The sequence below is a fragment of the Homo sapiens genome, chromosome 9 (genome assembly GCF_000001405.40).
Source record: "Homo sapiens chromosome 9, GRCh38.p14 Primary Assembly".
NCBI classification, from domain to species: domain Eukaryota; kingdom Metazoa; phylum Chordata; class Mammalia; order Primates; family Hominidae; genus Homo; species Homo sapiens.
Window position 1 is genome coordinate 86,989,320 of NC_000009.12, and position 14,248 is coordinate 87,003,567.

The 14,248-nt window shown below is 34.8% G+C and overlaps 1 long non-coding RNA gene across 1 annotated transcript in view; it reads left to right on the forward strand.

Moving 5' to 3' along the window:
* Window positions 1-12,714, forward strand: part of GAS1RR (GAS1 adjacent regulatory RNA) — a 53,336-nt gene extending 40,622 nt beyond the window's left edge. The window contains exons 6-7 of the long non-coding RNA NR_049794.1: window positions 7,995-8,084; window positions 9,275-12,714. This is a non-coding gene — a long non-coding RNA (GAS1 adjacent regulatory RNA). The remainder of the gene's footprint in view (window positions 1-7,994; window positions 8,085-9,274) is intronic.
* Window positions 12,715-14,248: the final 1,534 nt, after the last annotated feature.

A 14,248-nucleotide genomic window follows, 5' to 3' on the forward strand; every position in this document is an offset into this window, starting at 1 on the left:
GGAAGGTTATTTACCAATTTTCCCAGTCCCCCCATATGTCATGTATCAGTCTGTCCTGTTGATTCTGTGTCTCAGTTCCATCTGGAATCTGACCATGTCCTGTCATTTCTATTGCTAAAACTCTAGTCTAAGCCACCATGCTCTTTCATCTGTATTAGCACAACAACCCTTTCTCATTGCAACTTAGCTGGCCATACCTACTGCAGAAACTGGTACCTTGAAAGGGGATGTTGCTAGGATACAAACTTAATATGTTTATTTCTTTTGAGAACTGCCAGACTGTCCCAAAGTGCCTGAACCATTCTCTATTCCAACCAGCAATATATGAGGACTCTAGTTTCTCCACATCTTCACCAACACTTGTTATTTTCCTTTTTGGTTAATAGCTATCCTAGTGGGTGTGAAGGGGTACCTCATTGTGGTTTTGATTTGTATTTCCTTAATGACTAATGATGTTGAGCATCTTTTCAAGTGCTTGTTGGCTGCTTGTATAGCTTATTTGAAGAAGTGTTTCTTCAAGTCATTTGCCATTTAAAAAATTGGGTGTTTTTTTTTTTTGCTGTTGAATTGTAAGAGTTCTGTATGTATTTTGGATACTAGACCCTTATCAAATCATAATTTGCAAATATTTTCTCCCATTCTGTGGGTTGTCTTTTCACTTTCTTGACAATGTCCTTTGATGCACAAAAGTTTTTATTTTTTATTAAGTCCATTTATTCATCTTCTTTTTTGCTTGTGCTTTTAGTATCACATCTAAGAATCATTGTTAAATCCAAGATTCCTATGTTTTATTCTAAGAATTGGAAAATGGAGACTCAAAGAAATACATGTACACACATGATCATAGCAGCACTATTAACAATACTCAAAGGGTAAAAACAGCCCAATTGTCCATCAATGAATGGATGAATAAAATGTCGTTATGCATACAATGGAATTTTATTCAATCATAAAAATAATGTTTTACCGATGTGTGCTACAACATGAAAAACCTTGAAAACATTCTGCTAAGTAAAGGAAGCCAGACACAAAAGTATGGCATAATTCCATTTACATGAAATGTTCAGAATGAGTAAATCCATAGAGATAGAATTCAGATTGATGGTTACCAAGGGCTGGGAGAAAGGAGAATAGGACAATTGCTTAATGGGTATAGGGTTTCCTTTTGGGGTGATGAAATGTTTTAGAATTAGATAGAAGTGGTGGTTGCACAATATTCTCAATGTACTAAATGCCACTGAATTGTTCACTGTAAGATGGCTAATTTTACATTACGTGAGTTTCACTTGAAAAAAGCAAATTGCAAAGAACAAAGTAGAATCGCTCCATTTCCTCTCTGAAAGGTAATACATTTAATATATTTTTATTTCTGCTTTTTCTATATTTCTTTTCAATTTTTTATATATTAGAATTTTAGATACACAGTATTTTTTTATAGTATATGTCTTCTATTTTAAGACTTATTGTTGATATTTGCATTATGCTTAATATTCACATTAACAATAATTATTTAGACTTATTTGTAGTTTTCTGATTTCATTGTTCATCTTTGATGAAAATACTACGCCTTCCTCATTCTTGAATATGTTATAGTATTTCTTTGAACAATTTTTTTTGTTTCTTTTGTTTTGTTTTGTTTCTTTGAGACAGAGTCTCACTCTGTTACCCAGGCTGGAGTGCAATGGCACGATCTTGGCTCACTGAAACTTCTGCCTTCCCGGTTCAACCGATTCTCCTGCCTCAGTCTCCCAAGTAGTTGGTATTATAGGCACGCACAACCATAACCGGCTAATTTTTATTTTTAGTAGAGATGGGGTTTCGCTGTGTTGGCCAGGCTGGTCTCGAACTCCTGGCCTCAAGTGATCCACTCATGTTGGCCTCCCAAAGTGCTGAGATTAGATTACAGGTGTGAGTCACCATGCTTGGCCCTTTGAGCAATGTTTGAAAGAAGAGTATATATGTGAAACTCTACTTGAAGACTTTAATTTCTGAGGATGACTTTCACTTGCTTTCACTTGACTGTTTCATTAGATGTAAAACTCTTAGGACACCCAGAAAGATGGAGTGGATGTACTTTTCCCTATTCTTCATGTCAGAAAGCCAAAATCAAACAAACACAAACCTAAAATATCAAGAGACAGAATACTTTAATGAAGTATTTTAAAAAATAAAAATTATGCTAAAATCTATGATAGACAAAATATAAAAATTTGAAATAGAGTTTGACAAGGCAAGATTAGGGTGGGGTGAGTCATACAGGTGCAACATCAGATCTCCCCAATTTAAAATTTTAGTATTTCATCCAGCATGAATTATAATTCATTACATTTCATTTAATTCTTATTTTTAAAAATTGCAGTAAATATTGTTTCTCCTGATTACTGAATTTTTGGGTGTTCATTAAAATTTTGCACCTCAGGACTTCATTCACCTTACTTTAATCCTGCTTAGAGCACATTTTTTATCCTCAAAACTCTCTAGGTTTTGCTCTGATGTAGTGGCTGTCAAATTTGGCTTCACACTAGAATTTAAATGTTATTCGATAAATTTAATATCCACACTCTTTCCTCAGACAAGTTAAGCCAGACTCACCATTAGTGAAGCAAGATTTTAAAAATCTTTCTAGGAGATTCTAATTTGCAGTTGGGGTTGTAAACTACAACCTTATTTTTTTATTCCTATAGAGTTCAGTGATAAGGAATATTGATCATCTAGTCAGAATGCATCAGTTCAGCTCTTGGCTTTGCGTCCTTGAGTAAGTTATTTAGCATTTCTGATACTTAAATTCCCATCTCATGGCATGGTCCTGAAGATTCAAGGAAAAATCACATGCAAACCCTAAGCACTGTGCCTGGATCTTAGCAACCATAAATGCTTGCCATTAAGATATTGCTGGTGCTGGCCGGGTGCGGTGGCTCAAGCCTGTAATCCCAGCACTTTGGGAGGCTGAGGCGGGCAGATCATTTGAGGTCAAGAGTTCAAGATGAGCCTGAGCAACATGGTGAAACTCCGTCTCTACTAAAAATACAAAATAATTAGCTGGGTGTGGTGGCACATGCCTTTAGTCCCAGCTACACGGGAGGCTAAAGCAGGAGAATTGCCTGAACCAAGGAGACAGAGGTTGCAGTGAGGTGAGAACGCGCCACTGCACTCAGCCTGGGAGACAGAACGAGACTCCATTCAAAAAAAAAAAGAAAGATATTCTGGTGCTGAAGATGGAAACAGGAAAAAGCAATAGCTACGATTTAGTATTGTAGAGGAGAATCTTTTGCCAGTATGAAATCTTTTGCTATATCCTCTCAAAAATATGTTTCCAAAGGATTTGTCTCCATGTCTGTCTTTATTTATTTTGCCTCATATTCAGTGAGCCTATTTGCTTTAACAACACAAATGCTTTAGTTCAAATTTGTCCAACCTGCAGCCCACAGGACAGCTTCAAATGCAGCCCAACATAAATGATTTTTTGGCCCTTTTTTTTTTTTTTAGTTTATCAGCTATCATTAGTATTAGTGTATTTTATGTATGGCCCAAGACAATTCTTCTTCCAGTATGGTCCAGGGAAGCCAAAAGATTGGACACCCCTGCTTTTAGTTCAATACATTTTTTTTCTATTATAACTTTGATTACTTTCTCACTCTCTGTTTTGTTTTCTCCTTTTGGTAATATATATAGCTCTCTTTCTCACTAACTCTATAATCTTTTTTCTTCAATTTCTTGGAGAAGTTTTTAATTTTGTGTTTTTGATGTAAAAACACATATGCACAGTTTTACAAGTCAAAAGCTAAAAGCTTTTGAAAAAAATGGCAGATTCTCATATATTACTTGTATTTATTCTCTTCAGAAGTCACTTTAAAGTATTATCTTTTCTTCTGGCATTACCTTTTTAAATAGCATGTTTTAAAATAGAAATTTTCATGGTTTTTATTTATTTTTTGAATATGTAACACATTAACTTTGTTCAAAAGTTAAATAAATACAAATTTCTAGATTCTTCATATTGACCTTAGTAATAATTTCCTGAATATGACACCAAAAGCACAGGCAACAAAAGCAAAAATAAATAAATGGGACTACATCAACCTAAAAAGCTGCTGCACAGCAAAGGAAACAACAGAATGAAGAGGCAACCTGTGGAATGGGAGAAAATATTTGCAAATCATACATCTGATTAAAAGTTAATATTTAAAATATATGAGTTAGTTCTACAACTCAATAGCAGAAAAACAATCTGACTTTTAAAATGGGCAGAAGACCCAAATAGACACTTTGTAAAAAAACATAAATAATCTTAAACAAATATATAAAAAAGTACTCAATATTATTAATTATAAGGGAAATGCAAATTAAAACCACAATGAAGTAATACCTCACACCTTTTGGATGGCTATTATCAAAAAAATAGGGAAAAGGAAACTCTTGTACACCTTTTTCTGGAACTATAAATTGATATAGCCACAGTGGAAAACAGAGCAGTTCCTCAAAAACTTAAAAAAAGAACTACCAGATGATCCAGCAATCCCTCTTCTTGGTATATACCCTGCAAAACTGAAACCAAATTCTCCAAGAGCTGTCTGCACACTCATATTCATTATGGTATTATTTACAATAGCAAAGACACAGAAACAACTTAAATGTCCATGAACAGATAAATAGACAAAGAAAATGTGATACATACATACAATGGAATATTATTCAGCCTTAAAAAGGGGGTTGGCTTAATGCTTAAAAAAGAAGGAAATCCTGTCATTTGCCACATGGATGAAGCTGAGAGACATTATATCAAACAAAATAAGCCAGACACAGAAGAACAAATATTCTGTGATACCACTAATATCAGTAATTTAAAATAGCAAACTTGTAGCAGAGATCAGGCATATAAGGTTCTTTTACACAAGTTTCTTTTTTAGGTGGAAGTTTCTCTCCCATTCCACTCCCATCTGCCCATTACCACTGTTACTACCAACAATATTTAATTACCTTTATTGTATTTTGTGTACCTTCCACAGTTTTTTTCATGCAAGTAAAAGCAAATATAACATGTATTTTTCTTTTTCTGAAAGTTAACTTGGGCATCACTGTTTCTCTTTGCTGCAATATGTTCTCAGCCTCTCCCTGCCATTACTAGGGTTTCAAATTACACAATTATATTCTTATCTCAAGTTGCATTTCCCTCTCGCCTGACTGCTTATTTAATAGTTTTCTAAATCCTATCAAGAATATTAATTCCAGACTTTCTTAAGTTTATTTCCAGACATATTTCACATAATAATTCTGTTTCTTGAGAGGATATTGTTTCTGATTCCTTAAAACCTTTAGAAGACATTTTTAATTTCTGTGCCTGGCACTTTGTGTCCATTTGCTCATTCCTGCAGAAAGAAAATTTTGTATTTTACCTTTTTGGAAAACTAAGAAATATTTTTAAGGCATTGAGTGGTGTAGGTAAAGAGAGAAGGGAAAAGATTAGATTTTCTGTAATTTTATTTCACTAACACAAAATTTCAGAAAATGAAAAGAAATAAGGAAGGAGTCAGAGCTAGAGGCAGTGTCACCTGGGTTCCAAAGAGTTCTTTTTTCCTGTTTGTCACTGGTTTCCCAGCTGGTTCTGAGACTCCCACCTCCCCTTGGCATAACTGCCTCTTCAAATTCCCTGCTTATTGCCTGATCCTACTTTCAGACATCAGGATAATTGGGAGTGAGTGTGTTCATGGGGTCCTTACTCCAAGTGACCTTCAGTGCCTGCTAGGATCAAACTTTTCCTACAAATGCTGTGTTATAGACTGACCTTAGCTCTGGCACTTAGAAGTTGGTGAGATTCTGCTGAGAAAATGGCACCTTCTCATGCAGTGAACTGTGATTGGCAGACTTTTTCCTCAATCTGCCCTGTTTCCCAGACATCTCACAGAAATTCCTCAAGATTTTTAGTATACGTATGACATTCTTAAATAGTCCCTTGCACAGGTATTTCTTCTTTGTTTTTGTATTGGTGTGACAGTTCAAAGGGGATCTGAAAGTGAAGGATAGATGCGTGCTTAAGATTTTTAGTATACGTATGACATTCTTAAATAGTCCCTTGCACAGGTATTCTTCTTTGTTTTTGTTTTGGTGTGGCAGTTCAAAGGGGATCTGAAAGTGAAGGATAGATGTGTGCTTTCCACACTTGTCATTTAGAACCCATAGTGACTTTCTTAGTTTTCCTCTATCTAGATGTGTATTATTTAGTCACAAGTATATAAACTGAACATTTAAGCTTCTGTGTTGACATCATGGAAGGCAGCTTTGATCTCCCACAGAACGTCCCTGAAAGCCCCTGATAGCCACACTGCTGGTGAAGTACGAGGATGGGCTTAATGCTACATATAACTTTTGACTCCATTAGGCATATTCATAGATGGGGAAGTTTAATTTCTTTCTCACATGCTCCTTAAGAACTTCTGTTATTATCCATTAATTTTTCCCCTCCTCCCTCTGTATAAATAATTTCACATCTCTACTCTGAGGCTTCTCTAAGGACTCTCACTTCATCATCACTTCCCAGTTTATCACATCTCTCACTTAATTCGCGAACATTTTTATTCATTCATTTATTCATTCCCTGAGTGTTTACTGAGTACAGGGAATAGCATTAGAGAGTGAAAAATGAGCCAATTTTCCATATCCTCAGGGATCCCACAGGTTAAATCTAACATGTTAGGAAGATGTTGCAGCTGGAGAATCTTATGGAAATAAGGGGAGGGGAAGACAAGGAGGATGATAGTGTGCACGTCTCTAGCATCTGTACTTTATCTGTGCAATCTTATTTTACACTGATGACATGGTGATGATAGCAATAGTTATTTTTAAATGTTTGTTATTTAACACAGGTTTTGTGCTAAATTCAATATCCATTAACTTACATCATTTCATGATTCCCTTATGAAATATTCATTGTCATATTCCAATTTTACAGGTGAAGGAAATGAAGTAGAAGGATGTTACATACCTTGTTCAAAGTGACATAGCTGAGTCTGCTTGGACTGTGGTTCAAGCCATGCAGCCTAACTCTAGAACCCATGCTTTGCTACCTGACTTTCCAGACGTAGGAGGCAAATACCATAATCAGCTCCTTGTTTAGAGGTGTAGGAATTGAGGCCCAGAAAAAATAAGTAACTTGTCCAAAATATGTAGTGAAATTGGTACTTGAACTTTTGTCTGTCTTTCAACTACACTACCACCTCTAAATGCTCAAATTCAGATCATTTTAGATTTAAGGACTAGAAATAGCCTTGGAGATCATGTTATTAAATAATTACTCATTTTACAGATAATCTGTAATCACTAAAATCATTTACCTAAAGCAGTCAGGAACAGGTTCTATACAGCAAAGCAACTTAACATACAAAGGAAAATTATTGTTTGAAATATTATTTCTATTTTTTTTTTTTTTGAGATGGAGTTTCGCTTTTGTCACCCAGGCTAGAGTGCAGTGATACGATCTCAGCTCACTGCAACCTCCGCCTCCCAGGTTCAAGCGATACTCCTGCCTCAGCCTCCCGAGCAGCTGGGATTACAGGTGCCCACCACCATGCCCAGCTAATTTTTGTATTTTTGGTAGAGAGGGACTTTGACCATGTTGGCCAGGCTGGCCTCGAACTCCTGACCTCAGGTGATCCACCTGCCTCAGCCTCCTAAAGGGCTGCGATTATAGGCATGAGTCATCACACCCGGCTGAAATATTACTTCTATTTAATATTTAAGAAAACAAAATGAGGAATTCAATTCTTGATGGCAACACAGCTCTTGCTAGTAACTTAAATGCCTCATTGTTTCTCTGCAACAAGAGGAAAACTTGGGAAAGGATTCTGTAGGCACTGAGACCATCATAAGGAATTGCAGGACCCAGAGATTTTCATGAAAGTGAAATTGCTCATAGGAAATCAAAGCAAATGGCCTTAAGAGTGGCATCCAGTGGACCGTCCTCTGAAAAGTGACCCACAATTCTGCATGAATCTTTCCAGGACACTGAATTGGAGCCAGCTGATGTAAGGAGCTTACCTTGGTTGCCACCTTCTGGTCTCTGTTTGAGGAACAACTGCATGTGATTAAGGGTAACAGATACAGAATTTGTGTTAAGCCCAGGATGTAATTTGTTGAATGAGTAGCAATTGACTTGAAAATTGGATGGATGGGGATTGTGTTTCTTTACTCTCTCTCTCTTTTCTTTCTCCCTCTCAATACGGCTAGATTAAATCATCTTTAGTCTAGTCAAATCAGTGCTTGCTGTTGTTAAGAAGGATATTCTTGAGGTATAGTACTTCAGGGATGCTAATTGGGATTTGAGCAAGATGAAATTTCTACCCAGGTGTGTGCATCGTATACTGGAGATGGCAAAAACTGGTTCCAAATGAGGGTGTGTTTGTGTTCCTAGGCATGTTCCTATAGGGGCCAAAAAGATGCAAAATCTTCTTTTCTAAAGCTTTTGGTGTTCTCAAGCTTGTCTACACAATGGAATCACCTGGAGAATTTGGAAAACCAAAAATACTGATACCACTGATCCTACCCAACAGATTCTATTTTAATTGGTATGGAGTATGGCCTCAGCACTGATATTTTTTAAAGTTTCTGAGGCGATCCTAATGTGCAGCAAAGCACCGTCAAGCCCCCTCTCTCTGAGGAGGCACCAGCTGCAAGCATGTTTTACACCAATATGTTTGCTGAATATAAACATCCCAGTGCAAACTCTTGCACCCCAGAACTCTGGGCTGCTTGTGGACAGTCTTTGGCAAAGTCTGAATTTATAAACTGATAATACATATAATTCCATAGGCTCCATATGGTTCGTGTTATCCTGGGGGGAACTATACACATTTGCCTTGCCCCAGGATGGAAAGATAAATAACAGATGTGGATAATTTTTATCATACTTGTACTGAACAATAATAAAAAAATTAGAAATGAAGGAGCAGAGAGAGAAGTAAAACTCATGAAAACAAAGCTCAAATCAATTATTCTACGTTATATCTTTGCATTTTTAAGAATCCAAATACACAGTAGTACTCCATAGAAAAACCTGTCATACAGTTCTCCATTTCTAAGGGAGACTATCTCTAGAGTGATGAGACATAATATTAAAATTGTATGTTAATAAAGTTAATCAATTTGTTATTAGTGATAAAAAGTAAAATCTACATAGAGCTTACTGTGTACCAGACACTGTTCTAAGCACTATACAAGTATTAACTTATTTAACCCTCATTATAATCCTGAGACAAATCCTATTATTATCCTTATTTTACAGATGAAGAAACTGAGACCCCAAGAATTTAAGTAATTTGTTCAAGGCAACACACTGCTATGTGGTAGAACTACAAATTGAGCCCAAATAATCCAGCTTCAGATACTATGCAAAGGTATCCTAGGTGTGGGGGTGATAACCTGGTGACAATCCCTTCTCAGAAGGAAAACAGGTCCCATCTACAGAGGTGAAGCAGAGTGTGGAACTGAAAAACTCAATGGAAGAATGGCTATTAAGATTTAGGACGGCTGGGAAATAATAAAGTAATAATAATAATACTAGGTATTGACGTGTGCTACATGCCAGGCCTTGGGTGACATTTGGATTGATTCCCATTTTCTTTACTTTTCAGCAGTGGGGTCTTTCACCTTTCAAGCTCTGCCTGAGAAGTCAACATGGTGGCATTTGGCTAGGTTCTTTTAGGCAACCAATTGTTTTAACATGATTTGTTGAAAAGCCTATTCTCTCTTTCATTGAACTATAATGCTAGCTCTGTCATAAATCAAATTTTCATTTGATTTATGATATGAAAATTATATGCATTTGATTGATATGCATTTTTTCTCCAATGATACTCAACTGTCTTAATTATATAATTTTGTAGTAATTCTTGGTATCTAATTAGGCAAATACCCACTCCCAACCCTGTTTCTTTTGTTTTTAAATCCAGGGGTGTTTTGGATATTCTCGTTCATTTGTGCTTCCACCTACATTTTTCAGTTAACTTGTCAGGTACGAAAAAATAAAAGGCAAAATTTTTTATCCTTAAATCAATTTGGGCAAGTTTGCAGTTTTTTCTTGTATTGTAACTTCCAATCTATGAATATGATCTATTTTTTCACCAATTTATGGCTTCTTCCAATAACATTTTATAATTGTCTTTTTAGAGGCCTTATCTTTTGTTTAGATTCATATCTAGGTATTTAATATTTTTGATGCTGTTATAAATGGTATTTTTAAAAATATATACATTTTTAACTATTTCACATAGAAAACTTTAATGGATTTTTAAAATGTAGATTTGTATTCAGTAAACCTGTTAAAATCTCTTAGAATGTCTAAGAGTTTATTTATTCAATTTGATTTTCTTTTTTTTTTTTTCTCCTGGAGACGGAGTTTCGCTCTTGTTGCCCAGGCTGGAGTGCAGTGGCATGATCTCAGCTCACTGCAACCTCCGGCTCCCGGGTTCAAGCAATTCTCCTGTCTCAGCCTCCTGAGTAGCTGGGATTACAGGCTCCCACCACCATGCCCAGCTAATTTTTGGTATTTTTAGTAGAGACAGAGTTTCACCATGTTGGCCAGGCTGGTCTCAAACTCCTGACCTCAGGTGATCCGACTGCTTTGGCTTCCCAAACTGCTGGCATTACAGGCGTGAGCCACTGCGCCCTGGCCTATTCTACTGGATTTTCTATGCAATTGTGTTATAACTCATCATAAAGATAATTTTATTTCTTTTCCACAATCTTTACAGGTTTAATTTTTTTCTATGCCTTGCTGCACTCTCTATGATTTCCAGTATTGGCACTACTCTGGCCTTTGGTCTTTGCTCTTGCATCAGCCTTTCATAATTGGGTATGTTTGTTGTAAGTTTTCTGTAGAGAGTCTTTATGAGGTTAAGAGATTTGTTTCATTTCTAGTTTATTAAGAGATTTTATTATAGATCAATGTTAAATTTTATCAAAATTTCTCCATTGCATTTCTATTGAGATGATCACATGATTATTAAAAATTAGTATAAAGATTTATTATTTTGATATTTTAAAATCAGGTTTATTGAGGCATAATTTATATATAATAAAATTTACCCTATTAGAGTATCCAGTCCAGTAAGTTTTGGTAAATGTATGCGAATAACACAATAAACAGGTTTAGAACTTTTCCATCACCACAAAAAGTTTATCAGGCCCCTTTGCAGTTAATACTCACCTTCTCTCCAGCCCCAGTAAACCATGGATCTGCTTTTTGTTACTGTAGTTTTTCCTTTACTTTGATTTTTTTGAGTGTTAAGCCAGCCTTACATTTCTGAGTTAACTTGGTCATGATATCTTCTACAAACATTAATGAATTTAGTATGATTGGCTGATGCCTTTGCTTTCCTATACTGTCCTTGCCTGGTTGGTACAAGGATTATATAATACTTATAAAGTGAGTTGAAGACAGTTTCCTCTTTTCACCAGCTGGAATAATTTATGTATTATTGAAATTAATTGCTCCTTAAATACTTGGCAGAATTCACTACAAAGGCACTTAATTCTAGACCTTTTGGAGGAAGATAAAATACTGATTTTTTAAATCATTATTTTATTTTTGTAATACAGCTTATTTTTCCAGAAACTTCTACTTTTCGTTTACATCTTCAAGTCAGATTAAAGTTGTATTAATAACCCCTTATTATTTAAATCTCAGCAGAATGTGAAGTTATGTTCCCCCTTTGTATCCATTTTTTTCTCTAGATATTTTTCTGTTACCTGTTTTAAATTTAATTCCATTGTGGTCAGAGATAATACTTTGTATGACTTGCATTCTTTTATGTATATTGAGACTTGTTATAAGGCACAGAGTATGGTTTATCTTGGTAATCATTCGTGGCACACTTAAAAATCATGTGTTTTCTGCTATTGTTGAGTGGGATGTTCTGTAACTGTGAATTAGGTCAAGTTAGTTGACAGTGTTGTTCAAGTCTTTTATATTATTACTGACTTTCTTTCTACTCACTCTATCAATTAGTGAAAGGTGTCAATATTTCCAGTTATAATCATGGATTTGTCTATTATTACTTTCAGTTAGAAATTTCTAGCTGAAATTATCTATTTCTACTTTCAGTTAGTGTTAGCTTGCTATATCTTTTTTCCATCCTTCTTCTTTTAACCCAATGTATCTTTATATTGACATTACATATATGATTTATATTATATTATGTTACTATATCTTGTATGCAGCATATATTTGGATCTTTTTTATCCAATCTGATGATCTTTGCTTTTTAATTAATGTATTTAGATCATTTACATTTACTGTGATTATTAATATGTATTAAGTTCAAATCTACCACTTTGGTATTGAATATCTAATTGTCCCATTTGTTCTTTGTTTCAAAAAAACTCTTTTTTTGCCTTTTTTTATATCAAGTATTTTAAAATTCTATTTCATCTTCTTTGTTTGCTTATTAGCTATAACTTTATTTTGCTAATTTAGTGGTTGCTTTAGGGTTTATAGTAAACATCTTCAACTTATCACATTCTATGTTCTAGTCATATTATATTATTTAACACATAGTATAAAAACTTTATTGTAGTATACTTTCATTTTCCTCCAGTAATTGTGCGATTCTTGTCATCTATTTTGCTTCTACATGTTATAAACTCTACATGATTTTGTAATATTTTTGTTTAAACAATATTTATTTAGACTTAATAATAAATAATAAAAATATATGCTAACCACGTAGTTATAATTTCTAGTGTTGTTCATTTCTTTGTGTAGATCCATATTTCCACCTGCTATCGTTTTCCTTCTGCCCGAAGGTGCTGGTGATGAATTTTTTCAGCTTTGGTATACTTAAAAAACTTTTTTTATTTTTGAAAATATTTTTTGTTAGGTATGAAATTCTATGTTGACTTTTTTTTCTTTCAGTATTTTAAGAATGCTACTCCATTGTCTTCTTGCTGGCATTATTTCCAGAGGAAGAAAAATCTTTAAGATTTTCTCTTTTTACAGACTTTGAGTAATTTTACTACATTATAATTTGGTGTGGTTTTCTTCATGTTCCTTCGGCTTGAAGTTCATTGAGATTCTTCAATCTGTGAATTTATAGCTTTTTATCTACTTGAAAAAGGTTTAGCCATTATTTCTTTAAAAAGTCATTGTCTCATCTTTCCCCTCTTTGGAAATTTCAATTACGGGTATATTAGGTCATTTGATGTTGTTCCACACATCAATGATGCTCTGTTGTTTTTGTTATTTTCTCTTGTTTTGAGTCATTTTTTCTTCTGCGTTTTACTTTAGATAGTTTATCTTGCGATGTCTTTAACTCACCAGTCTTTCCTTTTGCAATGTTTAATATTTTGATTGTTTGATTTTTTTCCTTCTCACTATGGTTCATATTTTCCTGCTTCTTTAAATGCCTGATAATTTTTTATTGGATGCTAGACATTGTGGATTTTACCTTGTTGAGCTCTGGATACTTTTTGCTTTCTTTTGAATATCTTGAGCTTTTTTTCTGGAATACAATTGTGTTATTTGCAGACAGTTTGATCCTTTTAGGTCTGGATTTTAAGATTTGTTAAAAAGGACCAGAACAGTGTTCAGTCTAGTGCTAATTATTCAAACTACTGAGCTAAATCCCTTCTAAATACTCTACCCAATGCTAGGTGAATTACATTTTTTTGTAGTTTAATGGTGAGTACAGGCACCATTACCTGCCTTATGTGAGTTCCAGACACTGCTCCTTCCAAGTCTTTAGGGAAGTTCTTTCCCCAACTTTGGGCAGTTTCTTCACAAACATGCTCTGATTACTGCTCTGTTGAATAAATAAAGGAAAATCTCTACAGATCTCTGTGTGCAGATGCCCTCTCTAGTATGCTTCCCAGTAAACTCCAGCCACTTTCATCTATTCAGATTTTTAGCTTTGACTCCTCAACTTGGTGACTCTACTGTGATCTCCAACCCCAGGTCATGGCCTGGAATCTCTTGTAAGGCAGAACTGTGAAACAACCCTGCCTTACCTGATTTATTTTCTTTTCTCTCATAGATCACTGTGTTTCATTGCTGATGTCCAGTGTATTGAAAACCATTATTTCACATATTTTTTTCTGTTTTGTTTGCTTCAGGTTGATCCTGAGATCTTGTTCCCGATCTTCCATTTTTGCAAAGACTGAAGGTTCAATCTATTTTTTAGACCATTATTTTTGTTCTGTCATACCTCAGGTTTGTCAATTTTACTTTCCTTTTTCAATAACTTACATTTGGTATTCTCAA